Source organism: Homo sapiens, chromosome 16 (genome assembly GCF_000001405.40).
Source record: "Homo sapiens chromosome 16, GRCh38.p14 Primary Assembly".
In the NCBI taxonomy this organism is placed as follows: Eukaryota; Metazoa; Chordata; class Mammalia; order Primates; family Hominidae; genus Homo; species Homo sapiens.
In genome coordinates, this window is record NC_000016.10 from 31,212,096 (window position 1) to 31,231,953 (window position 19,858).

At 54.5% G+C, this 19,858-nt stretch overlaps 2 protein-coding genes across 2 annotated transcripts, besides 3 other annotated features; one reads left to right on the forward strand and one right to left on the reverse strand.

The window, feature by feature from the left end:
• Positions 1,515–2,430: an enhancer, noted in NCBI's record as "H3K4me1 hESC enhancer chr16:31224931-31225846 (GRCh37/hg19 assembly coordinates)". NCBI's record gives its function as "activates a minimal SCP1, AML or CMV promoter by ChIP-STARR-seq in naive H9 embryonic stem cells {active_cell/tissue: H9 hESC(naive)}" and the evidence as "EXISTENCE:reporter gene assay evidence [ECO:0000049][PMID:30033119]".
• On the forward strand, positions 2,024–19,442 carry TRIM72 (tripartite motif containing 72). The gene is made up of 7 exons (NM_001008274.4): positions 2,024–2,202; positions 2,637–3,033; positions 7,000–7,095; positions 7,194–7,424; positions 8,801–8,823; positions 10,732–10,850; positions 12,086–19,442. Exons 2-7 carry the CDS (start codon positions 2,644–2,646, stop codon positions 12,658–12,660), a joined length of 1,434 nt encoding a protein of 477 aa, NP_001008275.2. The 5' UTR covers positions 2,024–2,202; positions 2,637–2,643; the 3' UTR covers positions 12,661–19,442.
• Positions 2,431–3,345: an enhancer, noted in NCBI's record as "H3K4me1 hESC enhancer chr16:31225847-31226761 (GRCh37/hg19 assembly coordinates)". NCBI's record gives its function as "activates a minimal SCP1, AML or CMV promoter by ChIP-STARR-seq in naive H9 embryonic stem cells {active_cell/tissue: H9 hESC(naive)}" and the evidence as "EXISTENCE:reporter gene assay evidence [ECO:0000049][PMID:30033119]".
• Positions 3,867–5,040, reverse strand: PYDC1 (pyrin domain containing 1). The gene is made up of 2 exons (NM_152901.4): positions 4,648–5,040; positions 3,867–4,062 (listed from the first exon to the last, which is right to left on the reverse strand). Exon 1 carries the CDS (start codon positions 4,931–4,933, stop codon positions 4,664–4,666), a length of 270 nt encoding a protein of 89 aa, NP_690865.1. The 5' UTR covers positions 4,934–5,040; the 3' UTR covers positions 3,867–4,062; positions 4,648–4,663.
• Positions 4,261–5,175: an enhancer, noted in NCBI's record as "H3K4me1 hESC enhancer chr16:31227677-31228591 (GRCh37/hg19 assembly coordinates)". NCBI's record gives its function as "activates a minimal SCP1, AML or CMV promoter by ChIP-STARR-seq in primed H9 embryonic stem cells {active_cell/tissue: H9 hESC(primed)}" and the evidence as "EXISTENCE:reporter gene assay evidence [ECO:0000049][PMID:30033119]".
• Positions 19,443–19,858: the final 416 nt, after the last annotated feature.

A 19,858-nucleotide genomic window follows, 5' to 3' on the forward strand; every position in this document is an offset into this window, starting at 1 on the left:
AGAGGATGCCATGCAGTACCTGGGTTGGAGAGTGTTCCAGGCAGAGGGGACCGTAAGTGCAAAGTCCCTGATGCCGAGTGATCAATGGGGAAAGGGGTGATAAAAGAGTCAGAGTGATTAATGGGGTCATAGCAGATAGGGCTTTGTAAGCCACAGTTAGCACTTTGGTTTTTATTCTAGATGAAATTTCTTTCTTTTCTTTTTTTTAATATTTATTGTTTTTTTTGAGACGGAGTTTTGCTCTTGTTGCCCATGCTGGAGTGCAATGGCATGATCTTGGCTCACTGCAACCTCTGCTTCCCAGGTTCAAGCAATCCTCCCATCTCAGCCTCCCGAGCAGCTGGGACTACAGGTGTTCTTCACCATGCCCAGCTATTTTTTTTGAGTTGGAGTTTCGCTCTTGTCACCCAGGCTGGAGTCCAGTGGTGCGATCTCGGTTCACTGCAACCTCTGCCTCCCGGGTTCAAGCGATTCTCCTGCCTCAGCCTCCCAAGTAGCTGGGATTACAGGTACCTGCCACCACACCCGGCTGAGTTTTGTATGTTTCATAGAGACGAAGTTTAACCATGTTGGCCAGGCTGGTCTCAAACTCCTGACCTCAAGTGATCCACCCGCCTGGGCCCCCCAAAGTGCTGGGATTACAGGTGTGAGCCATTGTGCCTGGCCCTTGCCAACTTTTTAATGGGGTTGTTTTCTGCTTGTTGAAATGTTTAGTTTCTTTATATATTCTGGATAGTAGATCTTTGTTGGATGCATAGTTTGTGAATATTTTCTTCCATTCTTTTTTTTTGAGACGGAGTCTCACTCTGTACCCCAGGCTGGAGTGCAGTGGCGCGATCTCGGCTCACTGCAAGCTCCGTCTCCCGGGTTCACACCATTCTCCTGCCTCAGCCTCCTGAGTAGCTGGGATTACAGGTGCCCGCCACTGCGCCCGGCTAATTTTTTGTATTTTTAGTAGAGACGGGGTTTCACTGTGGTCTCGATCTCCTGACCTCATGATCCACCCGCCTTGGCCTCCCAAGAGTGCTGGGATTACAGGCGTGAGCCACCGCGCCTGGCCTTTCTTCCATTCTTCAGTTGTCTGTCTGTTGATAGTTGCTTTTGCTTTTGCTGTGCAGAAGCTCTTTAGTTTAATGAGGTCCCACTTAACAATTTTTGTTTTTGTTGCTTTTGAGGACTTAGTCAAGAATTCTTTACCAAGGCTGATATCCAGAATAGTATTTCTCCTGCGGTTTCTTCTATGATTTTTATGGTTTGAAGTCTTACATTTAAATCTTTAACCCATCTTGAGTTAATTTTTTTTATATGGTGAAAGGTAGGGGTCCAGTTTCATTCTCTTGCATAAGGCTAGCCAGTTATCCCAGCGCCACTTAAATGAAATTTCAGCTGAGATTTGAAAGATACACATACAGGAACCAGGGCAGAATTGAGTTCTGGGCTGCAGGCTCTGGATTCAGTTCATTCATTTGTTCAATGTCTCTCTATCATTCATTCTCCAAGCATTTAGAGAGGCCTACTTTGTCCCAGGCTTGTCCTGGGTGTACTAGAGAGACCAAAGTGGAAAAGACCCTCCCCTCAGCTCTGGAGGAAGAAAACATTTCAGGGTGGGGTGAGGTCCTGCCCTCCTGCAGGTGGGGTAATCCTGCCAGGGTGACCTTGGTCAGCCATAAACTTGGGGAATGAGTGGGTGACAGGCTGGGGAGGGGCTGCCAGCAAGGAGGAAGGAGCTGGAGAGTGTGGAGGTGGGAGTGGGGGGAGAAAGGGCAGACCCCCTTCAATTTTCTGTCTTTTCTGTGGTGTGAAAGGCCCTGGCTCCCCGCTGGCTCTGAGCTCTGACTCCAGGCAGGCCGGGGAGAGAACAGTGGATGGGCCAAGACAGGTGGCCCTGTCATGTGATGTGTGCCCAGGGACTACTCAGCCCTCACTTTTAGAACGGTTTCCGGAAGTGATGGGAGGGATTGGGCAGGGCAGCTAAATATAGTCCTGGGGCCATGGCTCAGTCTGGGAGGGTCTTCCGCTGAGCACTGTGTGCCCATCACGCGTGGTGTCCACTGCCAGCTGCCCCTGTGAGTCCCTGTCCTTGCTTGGAGCCTGCTGCTTGTCTCAGATCCTTGGACCCAGCCCTGACCCCAGTCCAGCTAAGCTCAACCCTGACCGGTCCTCCTTCGAGACTCTTTCAGCCTAAGATCTCCAACCAGACCTGTGAGTCCCGTGGGCTGGAGAGAGGGGGAGGGGAGGTCTGGGTATCTTGGTAAAGTGAGGGAGGGGAGTCTCGGAGTGGGGGCTCTGGAGAATTTGGGTCCGGGACTAAGGTCAGAGGCTGAGGCCTGGGGCTAAGGCGAGGGCAAGGACAGTGGGCTAGAATCTGGGCTTGTGTTCAGGAACTGGGGTTGACTGATAGGGCATATTTTTGGGGTTGGAGCTGAGAATTGCAGTGGAGGCTGCTTTTGGGCCTGAGACCGAGTTCCTCTTTCCCCTTGGCCGTCAGAGTCCCATCCAGTGTAGGATGTGAGGTCTTTACAGGCTGGGGCTTCTCCCTGCGGGGCGGCGGGCCCGGCCTGGGCTAGGGCTGGGCCAGGGCTGGGCCGGGAGCGCGGCGCCGCGGGGTCCCCCTAACCTACTCCTCCTCCACCCAGGCCCGCCATGTCGGCTGCGCCCGGCCTCCTGCACCAGGAGCTGTCCTGCCCGCTGTGCCTGCAGCTGTTCGACGCGCCCGTGACAGCCGAGTGCGGCCACAGTTTCTGCCGCGCCTGCCTAGGCCGCGTGGCCGGGGAGCCGGCGGCGGATGGCACCGTTCTCTGCCCCTGCTGCCAGGCCCCCACGCGGCCGCAGGCACTCAGCACCAACCTGCAGCTGGCGCGCCTGGTGGAGGGGCTGGCCCAGGTGCCGCAGGGCCACTGCGAGGAGCACCTGGACCCGCTGAGCATCTACTGCGAGCAGGACCGCGCGCTGGTGTGCGGAGTGTGCGCCTCACTCGGCTCGCACCGCGGTCATCGCCTCCTGCCTGCCGCCGAGGCCCACGCACGCCTCAAGGTGCGGGATCCGCGCGCATCGTGGTCGGAGGGGCTGTTCGGTGGCACGGGGCCGATGGGGAGGTCGCTGCAGTGATTTGGATTCTGAGTCTCTAGAGAGGCTCACGAGCTCCTGGAGTTGCGGGGGGCGGGGGCGGGGCGAAGCAGCCAGGAAAGAGGGTCTGAGGAGCTTAAGGCGGGGCTGGCAGAGGAAAGCCGCGCAGGGATGGAGCCTGGCGATAAGGGCGCTGAGCAAACGTAGGTTTCCCGGCCTTAGTCCCTAGAGGAAACTGGAGATGGGCGGGCGGAGCCCCAGGGCGGGTCTGATGGGCCGGGCGGAGCCAGGCGGAGCAGGGACTGACCAGCCCCTGCGGCCCACGCTCGCATTCCTGCACCCGGTGGGCCGTTCGGGCTGGCTCCCTGCTCGGCGCTGGCCCACTTTGGACTGGAGGCGCGGCGTTCGGGACCGAGCCAGGCGGCCGGGGCAGGGTTGTCCCCTTGTGCTCAGCGGAGGCCCACGCACCCCTGAAGCTGCGGAACTTGGGCTGGCCTGACGGTCCCCAGGCGGGGCCTCACCAGAAGGGAGACTGTAAGGGCTAGGCAGCCGGGATCTGCACTTATGTGTGCGGGCCCAGGGTGGCACCGAGAGCCCCGTCCAGGATGTTTTTCTGGGTGGAGCTGGAAGTCCCGAAAGCCTTGGGAGCCCACACGCAGTTGTGCGCGTCCCGAAGTACCCAGCAGAGACACCCAGACAGAGGCAAATAGAGACGAACGCACACTGGCTGGTGCGTGTCATCCGTGTGGCAAAAGCACACACGTATAGCTACCGGCGGGCACGTGTGCGCGCAGCCCCAGTAAAGTCTGCCATGAATATTTATTGGGCAGTGGAAGAATAAATGACAGGTGCAGGGGCTGGAGGAGGCGGGGTCTGGAGGCACGGAGGCGTCCTTGGTCCCCGAGGTGGAGACACTGCTGTTGTCTTACGCGACTGGTGCGCGCGTGGGGCTGGCTTCACAGGCGTTGCATTACTCCTTTTGCCTTGACCCGCCTCCTAGAAGGGGTAGACCACCGTCCTTTCGTTGGTATTCGAGGCCCCCAGACTTCCCAGGGACCCAGCCTCTCAGTCCTGCCTGGCCCAGTTCAGCCCAGTCCTAGCTGGTGGTCTCCTAGCTCAGGGCAGGAGCCTCCTCCCGGGACCCCTCCCATCCCAGCACACCTGTGCTTAAGACCCCAACCTCAGGGCAACCCGCTCGGATCCCCTTCCATGCTGTGGAAGCTTTGTTCTTTTGCTCTTTGCAATAAATCTTGCTGCCGCTAAAAAAAAAACAAAAAACAAACAAACAAAAAAAACCCAACCTCGCCCAACCTTGCCCGTCTTTATCTGCGAAGAAAGCACAGAACCCATGAAACGGAACAGGGCCCAGGCAGCCCAGGAGCCTGGAAGGGGGCAGTGGGGCGAGATGCAGCCCACCAGGGTTCGCGGCAGCCCAGCCCTTCGCCCCCGGGAGGGGCTGGCCGGAGGTCTGAGGGAGGACCCCAGGAGGGACCCTGAAGGAGGGGAACAGGAAGGCTCTGGGCGGGACCTGACGCGTGGGTCCTTGGCGAGGAAGCGGGGTTGGGTCCCGAGATCACGTACCAGCTCAGAGTGGCCCTCACGCAGCCCGCTGCAGCCGTGCGGCCTCCTCCAACATGCGCATGTCGCGCAGCACGGCCACGACGAGCTCGGCTGCGTAGTCCTCGTAGTAGGAGGCGACCAGCTTGTCGGTGAGGTCCACGATATCTAGCTGCCCGAGCGCGCCCCGCGGGATGCGCTCAAAGCCCTCGCGCAGCGGCACCGTCCCCAGCTTCATCTTGAACTTCTTGAGCTCCTCCGGTGTCAGGTTCTCCAGCACCTTCAGGATGGCCTCGCGCTTCGTTCCCATGGCTCAGCCCTGCGCCTCTGAGCCTCCGAGGGCCTGGAGCCATCAGGTCCTACCTTTCCTGCAGCAGGTGGAGCTGCCGCCCCCGGGGATGTCCCGGGAAGGAGACTGATCTGGCAGCTCCTATTCAACCCTGTGGCTCCTGCTGGGAGGGGACTCTGCAAACACCGCCTAGAGGGTCCCCCAGTTTCCCCTGGGAGAGTGGGGGCGCCAAATTGTTGAGGTGGGGATTGCTGTTCCCAATCTGCAGAGGAGGAAACAGGTTGCAAGTCATTGAGGCAGGAATGGAACTGATTCCATGGTCAGGCACCTCCCAGCAAAGAAGTGGCTTTGTAGCCTGGCATGGTTGCTCATGCTTGTAGTGCCAGCTACTCGGGAGGCTGAAGCAAAAGGATTGCTTGAGCCTAGGAGTTCGAGTTGTGATTCTGCCACTGCACTCCAGCCTAGGCAATCCTGTCTCCAAAAAAAAAAAAAAAAAAAAAAAAAATGGCTTTGGCAGGAGTATTGGGAGCTCTCCTATATTTGCATATTTGCATTTGAGGTCTTGGGTAAGATCTAGACCACAGAATGGTTGGTCTGTGCAGGGGACATTTTTTTTTTTTTTTTTGAAATGCAGTCTTGCTCTGTCGCCCAGGCTAGAGTGCAGTGGCACATTCTTGGCTCACTGCAACCTCCGCCTCCCTGGTTCAAGTGATTCTCCTGCCTCAGCCTCCCGAGTAGCTGGGATTACAGGCACTTGCCACAGCGCCCAGGTAATTTTTGTATTTTTAGTAGAAATGGGGTTTCACTATCTTGGTCTGGCTGGCCTTGAACTCCTGACCTCGTGATCCACCCGCCCTGGCCTCCCAAAGTGCTGGGATTACAGGTGTGAGCCACCACGCCCGGCCAGCAGGGGACATTTTAATTAAATTTCCTGCCCCCTACTCCAAGCCCATGTGTGTACAGGCAGGCTGACTTGGTGGTCAGGCTGACAGGCTGACTGAGGCTGATGTTCTGCTTTTAAGTAAGAGAGGAAGCCCAGGAGTAGGGGTAGGTTGCCTTTCTTCTTTCATATATCCTTCATGTACCCCCTGAGGTCTGTTGTGTGCCAAGCTCTGTGCCTGCCTGTCTGGTGGGAGAGACCAAACCACACTGATGTTTGTCATCCTCGCAAAGACCTGTGCTATGGGGCTGACTGCTGAGCAGAGGGGATCAGGGAAGGCAAGGCCAGGGAGGGGTCAACAAAACAGACAAGGGGCTGGGGGTGTGGCGGTTCATGCCTGTAATCCCAGCATGCTGGGAGGCTGAGGTGGGAGGATTGCTTGAGGCCAGGAGTTGGAGACCAGTCTGGGCAATATAGTGAGATTGTCTCTACAAAAATATTTTAAAAAATCATGGCCAGGAGTGGTGGCTCATGTCTAATCCCAGCACTTCGGGAGGCTGACGTGGGTGGATCACCTGAGGTCAGAAGTTTGAGACCAGCCTGGCCAACATGGTGAAACCCTGTCTCTACTAAAAATACCAAAATTAGCCAGGCGTGGTGGTGCACCAAAATTAGTCCCAGCTACTTGGGAGGCTGAGGCAGGAGAATCGCTTGAACCCAGGAGGTGGAGGTTGCAGTGAGCTGAGATTGTGCCACTGCACTGCATCCTGGGTGACAGAGCGAGACTCCAACTCAAAAAAAAAAAAATCAGAAAATTTGCTGGGCACGGTGGTGTGTGCCTATAGTTCCAGCTACTTGGGAGACTGAAGTGAGAGGGTCAATTAAGCCTGGGAAGTTGAAGCTGTAGTTAACTGTGATCATGCCACTGCTCCAGCCAGGGCAACAGTGTGAGACCCTGTCTCAAAACAAAACACCAAAATAAATAAATAAAAAACCGCACCAAAATAGACAAGGGGCAGGGGAAGCATTCGGACCTCAGGAGTAGCACTGGCTGGGGCTGGGAGGCATGTAAGTGGGTTTGGGGATGGGAAGATGGCTGGAGGAGGAGCTGGCATTGAGGTTGAGCCACAGAGGGCAGGTTTAGGATGGGAGGTGTGGGTTTTGGGTGGGTGGCATCCCCATCACTTCTCCATGCCTCGACCCCCAGACACAGCTGCCACAGCAGAAACTGCAGCTGCAGGAGGCATGCATGCGCAAGGAGAAGAGTGTGGCTGTGCTGGAGCATCAGCTGGTGGAGGTGGAGGTGAGGACTTCACAGGGCCATGTCTGAGGGCTGGGGGCCAGGCTAGGGGTCTCCAGCCAAGAGTCTTTATCCCTTCAATCACTGCCCCATCCCTGCAGGAGACAGTGCGTCAGTTCCGGGGGGCCGTGGGGGAGCAGCTGGGCAAGATGCGGGTGTTCCTGGCTGCACTGGAGGGCTCCTTGGACCGCGAGGCAGAGCGTGTACGGGGTGAGGCAGGGGTCGCCTTGCGCCGGGAGCTGGGGAGCCTGAACTCTTACCTGGAGCAGCTGCGGCAGATGGAGAAGGTCCTGGAGGAGGTGGCGGACAAGCCGCAGACTGAGTTCCTCATGGTGAGCACTGGGTGACCCCCCTCCCTGCCTCAGCCCCCTGCTCAGGGCCCAGAGACCTCATCCCATTGTCAGATAGGCCCAGAGAGGGGCAGGGATAAGCCAGCAGCACACAGCCGGGAGGGGCAGGCCTCAGGACTGCTATATGGTTGTTTAGGTTGAGCACTGCATAAGGACATTGTATTAAGTGAGCACTATTCATATCATAGACATTGTAGGTTTATATATTTATTAGGACACTCTTATTTTTATTTTTTATTTTTTGAGATGGAGTCTTACTCTGTCACCCAGGCTGGAGTGCAGTGGCAGGATCTTGGCTCACTGCAAGCTCCGCCTCCTGGGTTCATGCTATTCTCCTGCCTCAGCCTCCCGAGTAGCTGGGACTACAGGCACCCGCCACCACGCCTGGCTAATTTTTTCTATTTTTCAGTAGAGACAGGGTTTCACCGTGTTAGCCAGGATGGTCTTGATCTCCTGACCTTGTGATCCACCTGCCTTAGCCTCCCAAAGTGCTGGGATTACAGGCGTGAGCCACCGCGCCTGGTCTTTTTTTTAAAGGCAGGGTCTCACTCTGTCACCCAGGCTGGAGTGCAGTGGCATGATCATAGCTCACTGCAGCCTTGTAGGCTCAAGCAATCCTCCAATCTCAGCCTCCCATAGCTGGGACTACAGGCGCTTACCTGGCTAGTTTTTGTATTTTTAGTAGAGATGGGGGTCTCATTATGTTGCCCAGACTGGTCTCAAATGCCTGGGCTCAAACAATCTGCCTGCCTTGGCCTCCCAAAGTGCTGGGATTACAGGCATGAGTCACCGCACCCGGCCTATTAGGACAGTTTTCTAACAGGTGGAATCAGAGTTTCTTGGAGGCAAAGATACCTTTTTGTAATCCACATAAAAGTGAAGGGGTAGGGGTGGCCTTGAGTTCTAGGTCTCTTTTGCGTTTTTTTTTTTTTTTTTTTTTTTTTTTTTTGAGACAGGGCTTTGCTCTGTTGCCCAGGCTGGAGTGCAGTGGCATGACTTCGGCTCACTGAAACCTCCTTCTCCCGGGTTCAAGTGATTTTCGTGGCTCAGCCTCCCAAGTAGCTGGGATTACAGGTGCCTGCCACCATGCCCAGCTATTTTTTTTGTATTTTTAGTAGAGATGGGGTTTCACCATGTTGGCCAGGCTGGTCTCGAACTCCTGGCCTCAAGCAATCCACACACCTTGGCCTCCCAAAGTGTTGAGATTACAGGCATGAGCCACCTCGTCTGGCCTCTTTTAGCTTTTCTGATTCTTTCTGACGTTGCACTCAGCATTCCTAGTTGTCTACCCCATCCTCAAAAGTTTCCAGTGTCCCCACCATCGGCTTCACCACCATTCTCTTTTTCTCTCTCTCCAGAAATACTGCCTGGTGACCAGCAGGTGAGAGCAACCTGGCCCTGTCCCTTTGCCCGACTTGTCCCAGTCTTCTAGGGACACCAGCCGGCTCACTCTCCACTCACTATTGTGCCTGCACACCCGCAATTCAGTCTGCTGCCCCACCCCTGCCTGAACACAAGGTTGTAGACAGAAATGATCTGGAAGGATCCTTTCACTCAGGGACCTCCTAGATTGGTGCCGTGAGACACATGTGGGTGGGGACACAGGCGTCACTGTGTGCTCAGTGTGGCCGTTGAGGGAAAGAGGTGGCCAGGGATGGAGTGAATGTTTGAGTTGGGGCCTGGAGGGATGAACAGGAGCTGGCTAGGCAAAGCGTTGGGAGAAGAAGGGCATTGTGAGGAGAAAGGCATTGCGGGGAGAAGGGCATTGCTGAGAGAAGAAGGGTATTGCTGGGAGAAGAACATTGCTGGGAAAAGAAGGGCATTGCTGGGAGAAGGGCATTATGGGGAGAAGGGCATTGCGGGGAGAAGGGCACTGCTGGGAGAAGGGCATTGCTGGGAGAAGGGCATTTCTGGGAGAAGAAGGACATTGCTGGGAGAAGAAGGGCATTGCTGGGAGAAGGGCATTATGGGGAGAAGGGCATTGCAGGGAGAAGGGCATTGTGGGGAGAAGGGCATTGTGGGGAGAAGGGCACTGCGGGGAGAAGGGCATTGCTGGGGAGAAGGGCATTGGGAGAAGGGCATTGCTGGGAGAAGGGCATTGCTGGGAGAAGAAGGGCATTGCTAGGAGAAGGGCATTGCTGGGAGAAGAAGGGCATTGTGGGGAGAAGGGCATTGCGGGGAGAAAGGCATTGCTGGGAGAAGAAGCGCACTGTGGGGAGAAGGGCATTGCTGGGAGAAGGGCATTGCTGGGAGAAGGGCATTGCGGGGAGAAGGGTATTGCTGGGAGAAGAAGGGCATTGCAGAGAGAAGGGCATTGTGGGGAGAAGGGCATTGCAGGGAAAAGGGCGTTGCTGGGAGAAGGGTGTTGCTGGCAGAAGGGTGTTGCTGGGAGAAGGGCATTGCTGGGAGAAGGGTGTTGCTGGGAGAATGGCATTGCTGGGAGAGGGGACAGCCAGCGAGAGGGCTGGCGAGTGGGAGGGAAGAGGAAGCTGCGGTAGTAGGTGTGTGCACACTGGCGAAGCTGAGAGGCTTGGACCTTATCCCAACAGAAGGATTAAAAGAAAATGTAGTTGGGCCGGGTGCAGTGGCTCACGCCTGTCATCCAAGCACTTTGGGAGGCTGAGGCGGGCAGATCACCTGAGGTCAGCAGTTCGAGACTAGCCTGGCCAACATGGCAAAACCTCACCTCTACTAAAAACACAAAAATTAGCCAGGCATGGTGGTAGGCGCCTATAATCCCAGCTACTTGGTTGGCTGAGGCAGGAGAATTGCTTGAACTGGGGAGGCAGAGGCTGCAGTGAGCCAAGATCATGCCACTACACCCCAGCCTGGGTGATAGAGCCAGACTCAATCTCAAAAAAAAAAAAAAAAGACCAAAACCAAATAAACAGTGGTAAAATAATACATGTAACATAAAATTGACAATTTTCAGCTTCTTCTTCTTCTTTTTTTTTTTTTTTTAGACAGGATCTTGCTATGTTGCCCAGACTGGACTCAAATTTCTGAGCTCCAGTGAGCCTCCTGAGTCAGCCTCCCTGAGCAGCTGGGACTACACTCTACCTCGCTCATTTTAAGCATTTTTAAGTGTGCATTTAAATTCAGTGGTGCTAAGTACATTCACATTGTACAACCATCACCAGTGTTTATCTCCAGAATTTTCTCATCTTCCCAAACCAAAACTCCAAAGGAAGAGTTTTAAGCAGGGGTGCGATGTGGGGAGATCCTGGAATCCCCCCAGCCCTTGTCCTCCCCCCTCACACATGCCTCCCCTTCCCCTCCCCACCCCCAGGCTGCAGAAGATCCTGGCAGAGTCTCCCCCACCCGCCCGTCTGGACATCCAGCTGCCAATTATCTCAGATGACTTCAAATTCCAGGTGTGGAGGAAGATGTTCCGGGCTCTGATGCCAGGTACCGGGAGGGACTGGCTCAGGTTTGTGTGTGACCAGGCAGTTGATGGGAGGCCCTAGCCACCCTGGAGAGGCCTCCCAGTCCCAACTGGGGAGGCCACTGAAGGAGGTACCCATTGCCCCTTTGCCTCTGGACTGCCGCTGCAGTCCTCTAACCTGTGTTGGGAGGAGGGCCTTTGAGAGCATGGGGTTTGCAGTGGGTGACTGACATGAAAATGCTGCTGCTGTTGGTGGCACGGGACGCTGGGGCCTAGGTCTGAGCCACTGACTTGCTGTGTGATCCTTGGTCAGTCTCTGCCCCTCTCTGGACGGTGGAGATGATAAATCCTGCCAATTGGGGACTGAGGCTCTGCAGAGCTCCTGGAACCCTGGGGACTGGCCTGGGTCAGAGAGTGACTCTGGCGGCCTGTGGCTGGGGAGGCCCAAGGGCTCAGTTCCTCCCCCCAAGAGCTGGATGATGCAGGTTACAGAGCTCTGGGACATACACATTGCTGGGGCAGCCCTTCCTGCCTCAGCGCAGGTGGGAATGCAGACAGCCTCATTTTATTCAAGATAAAACTAAGGCTCAGAGACTGGGTCTAGGCTGATGTGAAGATCAGGCTCCTTGACCTTGGGCCTTGGGCCTTGTCTGGGCCTCAGATGGTGAGTCCCATGCCTTGTATCAATTTAGTCCTGTTGGCCAGGCTCGGTGGCTCACGCTTGTAATCCCAGAACTTTGGGAGGCCGAGGTGGGAGGATCACTTGAGCCCAGGAGTTGGAGACCAGCCTGGGCAACATAGTGAGAACACCTGTCTCTACAAAAACTTAAAAAAATTAGCCAGGTGTGGTGGCACGTGGCTGTAGTCCCAGCTACTTGGGAGATGGGAGATGGGAGGATTGCTTGAGCCTGGGAGTTGGAAGTTGCAGTGAGCCTAGGTTGCACCTGCGCTCCAGCCTGGGCGACAGAGTGAGACCCCGCCTCAAAAAAACAAAAAACAAAAACAAAAAACAACAACAATAACAACAACAAAAACAAAAAGAAAATGCAGGCCTGCCTGCAACCCTGGAGGGAAGCAATCATGGCCTCATCTCACAGCTGGGCAAACTGAAGTTGAGCCAGGTGTGATCTTGTGGCCCAAGCCCAGTGAGCAGAGATGCCAAGAGGATTAGGGGAGAGAAAGCTGGCCTGCAATTGGTTGGGAGAAGACCCCAGCGAGGCAGAAACCTAGGGTTTTCTGACCGTGTTCTCTCTGGCAGCGCTGGAGGAGCTGACCTTTGACCCGAGCTCTGCGCACCCGAGCCTGGTGGTGTCTTCCTCTGGCCGCCGCGTGGAGTGCTCGGAGCAGAAGGCGCCGCCGGCCGGGGAGGACCCGCGCCAGTTCGACAAGGCGGTGGCGGTGGTGGCGCACCAGCAGCTCTCCGAGGGCGAGCACTACTGGGAGGTGGATGTTGGCGACAAGCCGCGCTGGGCGCTGGGCGTGATCGCGGCCGAGGCCCCCCGCCGCGGGCGCCTGCACGCGGTGCCCTCGCAGGGCCTGTGGCTGCTGGGGCTGCGCGAGGGCAAGATCCTGGAGGCACACGTGGAGGCCAAGGAGCCGCGCGCTCTGCGCAGCCCCGAGAGGCGGCCCACGCGCATTGGCCTTTACCTGAGCTTCGGCGACGGCGTCCTCTCCTTCTACGATGCCAGCGACGCCGACGCGCTCGTGCCGCTTTTTGCCTTCCACGAGCGCCTGCCCAGGCCCGTGTACCCCTTCTTCGACGTGTGCTGGCACGACAAGGGCAAGAATGCCCAGCCGCTGCTGCTCGTGGGTCCCGAAGGCGCCGAGGCCTGAGCCGCCGGACGGGTAGTGGAGGGGCGCGGGGGCCTGGGTTGAAGCTTAGGTCTCCTTGGTCGGGTCTGACGGGAGAAGGGTGGGGAGCGGGTTGCCAGGGCCCAGGGGGCTGGGAACTGGGGGATCTCCCAGAATACTGACAAGCGTGGGGTAGGACTGGCTTGGTGGCTCATGCCTGTAATCCCAGCACTTTGGGAGACGGAGGCGGGTGGATCACCTGAGGTCAGGAGTTCAAGACCAGCCTGGCCAACATGGTGAAACTCCTCTCTACTGAAAATACAAAAATGAGCTGGGCGCGGTGGCATACGCCTGTAATCCCAGCTAGTTGGGAGGCTGAGGCAGGATAATTGCTTGAACCCAGGAGGTGGAGGTTGCAGTGAGCAGACATTGCGGCACTGCACTCTAGCCTGGGTGACAAGAGTGAGACTCTGTCTCAAAAAAAAAAAAAAGTGTGGGGGTTGGCATGGCCTGGGGACTGCTGGTGAGGGGTTGGAGTGACGCTGGGGACAAGACCCAGTGGGGTAGGGAGATCTGGAGTCAGGTCAGTGGGGAAATCAGAATTTGGGAACCAGGAGGCCTGAGAATTCCAGGAAGAAACTAAGGTTGAGCGAGGGAGGGACAGGGCCAGGTTGGGGGATTGATGGGAGGAGCTTGAGAACCTGTAGATAAGGGGCTCCTTTTGCCTCACACTCCCCTCCTCCTTAGGCCTTGGGTCCCCCGCTCCAGATTCACCTTACCCAAAAGCCTTCTCCTTAGTTCTCCACCTTAGGCATGCATTAAAATCACCTTTTTAAAGCCCTTAGCCATGACTTGTTAAAGCATAGGGTGCTAAGTTTCTGATTTAGTAGGTTGGACAGGTCAAAAATGCTCATTTCTTTTTTTTATTTCTTTTTTTTTTTTTTTTTTTTTTTTTTGAGACAGAGTCTTGCTCTGTCACTCAAGGCTAGAGTGCAGTGGTGCCATCTCGGCTCACTGCAACCTCTGCCTCCAGGGTTCAAGCAATTCTCATGCCTCAGCCTCCCAAGTAGCTGGGACTACAGACGCCCGCCACCACACCTGGCTATTTATTTTTATTTTTAGTAGGGGTTTCACTATGTTGGCCAAGCTGGTCTCGAACTCCTGACCTCAAGTGATTCACCCGCCTTGGCCTCCCATAGTGCTGGGATTACAGACATGAGCCACTGCACCTGGCTGAAAATGCTCATTTTTTTTTTTTTAATTTAGTTTTTGTAGAAATGGTGTCTCGTTACATTGCCCAGGCTGATCTTGAACTCTTGGCCTCAGGTGATCCTCCTGCCTTGGCCTTCCAAGTGCTGGGATTACAGGTGTGAGCCACCACGCCCTGCCAAAAATGTGCATTTCTAGCAGGTTCCCAGGTGACGCTGCTGGCCACAGGGGCTGACGCTGCGGGAAGCCCTGACCTAGTGCACAACCCATTGGGCTCTTCACTGTCAGTGTAGAGGCATAGGTCCAAAATATGTTTCCCCAGTCAAAAACATGTAAGGTTTGCACCAGGAGTGGAAGGAAACAAACAAACATAAACCAAAGCAAAGACACTTAAGGGCTGGGTACTCATGCCTGTAAACCCAACACTTTGGGAGTTTGAGGCAGGAGGCTCATTTGAGGCCAGGAGTTTGAGACCAGCCTGGGGAACATAGTGAGACCCTGTTGCAACAAAAACCAGAAAAACAACAAAAAGAAGACATTGGAAAATGGCTGGAGCTGATTCTAGGTGAATAAACAACCCTCGACTTAACTTGCTTTGCCTCTGGGATATGTTTATCGAGCGTCTTGAACGTTGAGGAAGCCAGCCAAGAGAAAGAGCCTGATGCCAAGGTCACACTGGTCCCTGCTGCTCATGGGGAAGAGAAGGCCCCCAACTAGATGTCCCAGAACTGGCCGCTCCCCACTTACTTGCTGGTTCACACCTTCTTTGGTTTTAGCGCACAGGGCATTTCTTGGGCTCTGGAGTAACCACTGAGGCCAGAGTGAGAGTCCCTCTTCCCTGGAGGGAGAGGCCTTTGGGGATCCAGACAGGCTTCTCTCCTGAGGGAAGACGCTGGCCTGGGGTCACTCATTTTCACGGGGAGGGTGTGCTGGCGGGATGGGTGGAAGGGCCTGGGGCCCCGGCAGCCCATTGCGGAGGTTTTCTCGGGAGATGGTGGGTATGGGACTAAGGGTGAAAGGGAAGTTGTGAGTTGGGTAAGAAAGGCCTGAGGATCTGGCAGGGGAAGGCGGCACACCTGGGTGTGTCTCCCAGAGGAAGGCCTGTGGAGCCCTGGCTTCAGGAGACAGAAGAGAGGATTAACGGTAGAAGCTCTTTCATGTTAGAAAATAAAACAATATAGCTAAGGGATTATTTGGTTGTAAAATCCAACACCATTAATAAAACTGTTATATTCTGACTCCTTCCTCATTAAATCCACATGAAAAGACATGTGACCTACTGCAAGGCCTCCTAATTGCCCTCCAGCCTTTAATCCTGACTTGGTAATGTTTCCAAAAATGCAAATGTGGTCACGGGACTCAGTTGCTCAAAACTTTCAACAACTCCCTCTTGCCTACAGGATAAAGCCCCCAGTCTTTGGCTTAGCATTTGAGCTGTTCTGCCATTTTTTTTGTTGGTTGGTTTGTTTGTTTTGTTTGAGACAGAGTCTCGCTCTGTCGCCCAGGCTGGAGTGCAGTGGTGTGATCACCGTAACCTCCGCCTCCTAGGTTCAAGGGATTCTCCTGCCTCAGCCTCCCGAGTAGCTGGGATTACAGGTGCCCGCCAGGCTGGTCTCGAACTCCTGACCTCAGGTGATCCACCCATTTTGGCCTCCCAAAGTGCTGGGATTACAGGCTGGCCTTCCAGCTTCATCTGTTTTTAGTTAAAAAACAATTTTTTTTTTTGAGACAAGGTCTTGCTCTGTCGCACAGGCTGGAGTGCAATGGTGTGATTGTGGCTCACTGCAGCCTTGACCTCCTGGGCTCACATGATCCTCCCACTCCAGCCTCCTGAGTAGATAGGATGGCAGGCACCCATCACCATGCCTGACTATTTTTTATTTTTTGTATTTTGGTAGAGATGAGGTCTCACTATGTTGCTCATGCTGGTCTCGAGCTCCTGGCCTCAAGCGATCCTCCCATCTTGGCTTCCCAAAGTGTTGGGATTACAGGTGTGAGCCACTGAGCCCAGCCCAGCTTCATCTTTTATTTTATTATTATTTTTTGAGATGGAGTCTCACCGTGTCACCCAGGTTAGAGTGCAGTGGTGTGATCTTGGCTCACTGCAACCTCTGCCTCCCAGGTTCAAGTGATCCTCCTGCCTCAGCCTCCCGAGTAGCTGGGACTATAGGCAGGTGACACTACGCCTAGCTGATTTTTGTATTTCTAGTGGGGACAGGGGCTTCACTATGTTGGCCAGCCTGGTCTCGAACTCCTGACCTCAGGGGATCCCCCAACTCGGCCTCCCAAAGTACTAGGATTACAGGCTTGAACCGCCGCGCCCAGCCCCAGCTTCATCTTAAAAAGAAAAGTTCTCTGTTTTAATATCTAACAGGGCAAATATTGAAAGATAAAACCACATAACAAAAGCTCTTTGGGATCCTAGTGTTGGGGAAAGGCTGCTGTCCATTGACTGTCACTGAACTCTCTGTCATTGCTCAGGCTAAGGACTGGCCACAGTGAGGGAGGGACCTGTGGTCTCCTGTGTTGCTCCTCACCCTGTAGACTGTGGGCTGTGGGCTGTGTCCAGCCTCACCTTGGATCACCGCCCTGTGCATGTCTACACTCTGGCTATGCTGAACTGAACTGCTGGGGTCTCTGCACCTCCTTTTTTTTTTTTTTTTTTTTGAGATGCAGTCTTGCTCTGTCGCCCAGGCTGGAGTGCAATGGTGCTATCTCAGCTCACTGCAACCTCTGCCTCCCAGGTTCAAGTGATTCTCCTGCCTCAGCCTCCGCAGTAGCTAGGATTACAGGCACCCACCACCACGCCAGGTTAGTTTTTTCATTTTTATTTGTATTTTTAGTAGAGGCGGGGTTTTGCCATGTTGGCCAGGCTGATCTCGAACTCCTGACCTCAAATGATCTGCCCGCCTCAGCCTCCCAAAGTGCTGGGATTACAGGCATGAGCTGTCGGGCCTGGCCCCTGCACTTCTTTTTTAGGAATGTCAGTTCCCTCCCACTTATCCTTCATGGCTCTCCCAAAACACCACCATTTCCTGTCCTCTCTTGACCTTCTAGGCCTCCAGGAAGAATCAGTTACTCTCCTCTCTGGATCGCCCAGCAGCTCCTCCACCATGTGTAGCCCACGGCATTGAATTGTCTACACACAGGCCATGGTGTCTGGAGGGATGGTGGTATCTGAGACCCAAAGCCTCCTTCTGAGGAAATGGGTACTCTGAGAAGCAGATGCCAAGATAGGATTAAATGGGCAGAGATTTTAGGAGGGAAGATGCCCATGTGAGGGAAGATGGGGAGGGCCATCAGACCGTGTCGCAAGTCTGCTGTTCGTGTGGGAGGGAGGGAGGGAAGGCTCTTGTGGCGTCTCCGGCAGCCAGAGCCACCGTCCAAACACTCCTGTGCCTTCCGGGACCCGGGCTGGCTTTAGTCTCCCTGCAGAGCTGAGTAATGTATGCTGCCTTTTGTTGGAATTATATCAGGAAACTTTCTTTCGAAGCTGCCACAGGTTCTTTCTGCGTATAGTTGCCCCAGCTTGAGCTGCATGCATTGAAGGAAATGGCCCATGGCTGACTGAGTGAGGTGGGCTTTGTGGGAAAAGCTGCGTAATCCAGGTGGTCCTTGTCGGGTGGGGCTGCCTGACCCAGGCAGGGTCTCCCTGGGGATGTAGGAAGGTGAAATGTGAACAGAGAAAGGAGTTCCTCCAGCACATGTGTTCTAAAGCACCAGCGTCCCCTCCGTGAGTCCCTCCTCTCCACGGGAACGCTGGAAACCCCCAGAAACTGGCTGCCAAGACATTTCCTGTGTTTCCTGACATCTTTAGGTAGCATAATAGCAAACTTGAACCTGCCAAGGCCATGATAAAACTGCAAGCAAGAACATTTATCGTGGCCAGGTGCAGTGGCTCACGCCTGTAATCCCAGCACTTTTGGAGGTTGAGGCGGGTGAATCACCTGAGGTCAGGAGTTCGAGACCAGTCTGGTCAACATGGTGAAACCCCATCTTTACTAAAAATACAAAAATTAGCCAGGCATGGTGGTGCATGCCTGCAATCCCAGCTACTCAGGAGGCTGAGGCAGGAGAATCACTTGAACCTGGGAGGCAGAGGTTCCGATGAGCTGAGATCGGGCCACTGCATTCCAGTCTGGGTGAGAGAGTTAAAACAGGAATTAAAAGAAATTAAAGAATGTGTAAGCAAAAACTCAGTTGTATGTAAGAAAACCCCATTCACCCTGAGGAAGAGAAAGAGCTAAAGTCCTTTAAAAATTAACTGCCTGTTTTTCTGTGGATAGTGAGCCTTATCTCTCTCCCTTTCCCAGGCATTGTGAAGACCCTGTTTCTCTAGCTGTGCAGCTGCAAGGTCACTAGGCAGATAAACTCAAGTCATAAAACATGTTTTTCCTTGAAAAGTAAAAAATGATGTAATGCATGTCTCAACTGAATAACTGTCTTTGTTTCTTGCTTCTGTAATATGCTTCCCCCTGCACAGATCTCCCCCTGCCCCACAAAATGCTTAAAAGGTAACCGGAGCCGGGCGTGGTGGCTCACGCCTGTAATCCCAGCACTTTGGGAGGCTGAGGCAGGCGGATCATGAGGTCAGGAGATCGAGACCGTCCTGGTTAACATGTTGAAACCCCGTCTCTACTAAAAATACAAAAAATTAGCCGGGCGTGGTGGCAGGCACCTGTAGTCCCAGCTACTTGGGAGGCTGAGGCAGGAGAATGGCCTGAACCCGGGAGGCGGAGCTTGCAGTGAGCCGAGATGGCGCCACTACACTCCAGCCTGGGTGACAGAGCGAGACTCCGCCTCAAAAAAAAAAAAAAAAAAAGGTAACCGGACTCTTTGTTCAGGGCTCAGTCTTTTTGGATGTTAATCTGACCGGGCCAGTGCACCTAACTAAATAATAAATAATAAGTATCCTCCTCAACCTCTTGGTCTCTCTGATTCCTAAATTATCCCACTGCAGAATGAGACTCTGTCTCAAAGGAAAAAAAAGAAAATTTATTGAGACCTTATTATGCGTCAATAGCTCTCTATTCAGAATCTCACTGATCTTCGCAACCCTGGATCTCACAACAACGAGAGCCCCACTAGGTTGCCTCTTTTGTTTTGTTTTGTTTTTTTTTTGAGATGGAGTCTCACTGTCTCCCAGGCTGGAGTGCAGTGGCGTGATCTCGGCTCACTGCAACCTCCGCCCTCTGGGTTCACGCCATTCTCCTGCCTCAGCCTCCCAAGTAGCTGGGACTACAGGCGCCCGCCACCATGCCTGGTTAATTTTTTTGTATTTTTAGTAGAGACGGGGTTTCACCATGTTTGCCAGGATGGTCTCCATCTCCTGACCTCGTGATCCGCCCGCCTCGGCCTCCCAAAGTGCTGGGATTACAGGCGTGAGCCACCGCGTCCGGCTTAGGTTGCCTCTTATACTGGGTTCACGCATCCCCTGGGTGCATGACAGTCTGACCACAAAGGACCCCGGTCCACAGAAGCATGATGCATCTTGGAGTATCGACTTTATGCCAATATTCTTCTTCTTGATACTGGTGGTGGTGAGAAAGTTGGGTAATTTAACCAAAAGTAAAAATCAAGATGTCACGTTCCCATTAAAACAAACATAGAGTACAGAATCTGTGTGAATTTTCAAGCTAAAACAAGAGATGTCGCTCTCCCTCTCCCTCTCCCTCTCCCTCTCCCCATGGTCTCCCTCTCCCTCTCTTTCCACGGTCTCCCTCTGATGCCGAGCGGAAGCTGGACGGTACTGCTGCCATCTCGGTTCACTGCAACCTCCCTGGCCTGATTCTCCTGCCTCAGCCTGCCGAGTGCCTGCGATTGCAGGCGCGCGCCGCCTCGCCTGACTGGTTTTCGTAGTTTTTTGGTGGAGACGGGGTTTCGCTGTGTTGGCCGGGCTGGTCTCCAGCTCCTAACCGCGAGTGATCCGCCAGCCTCGGCCTCCCGAGGTGCCGGGATTGCAGACGGAGTCTCGTTCACTCAGTGCTCAATGGTGCCCAGGCTGGAGTGCAGTGGCGTGATCTCGGCTCGC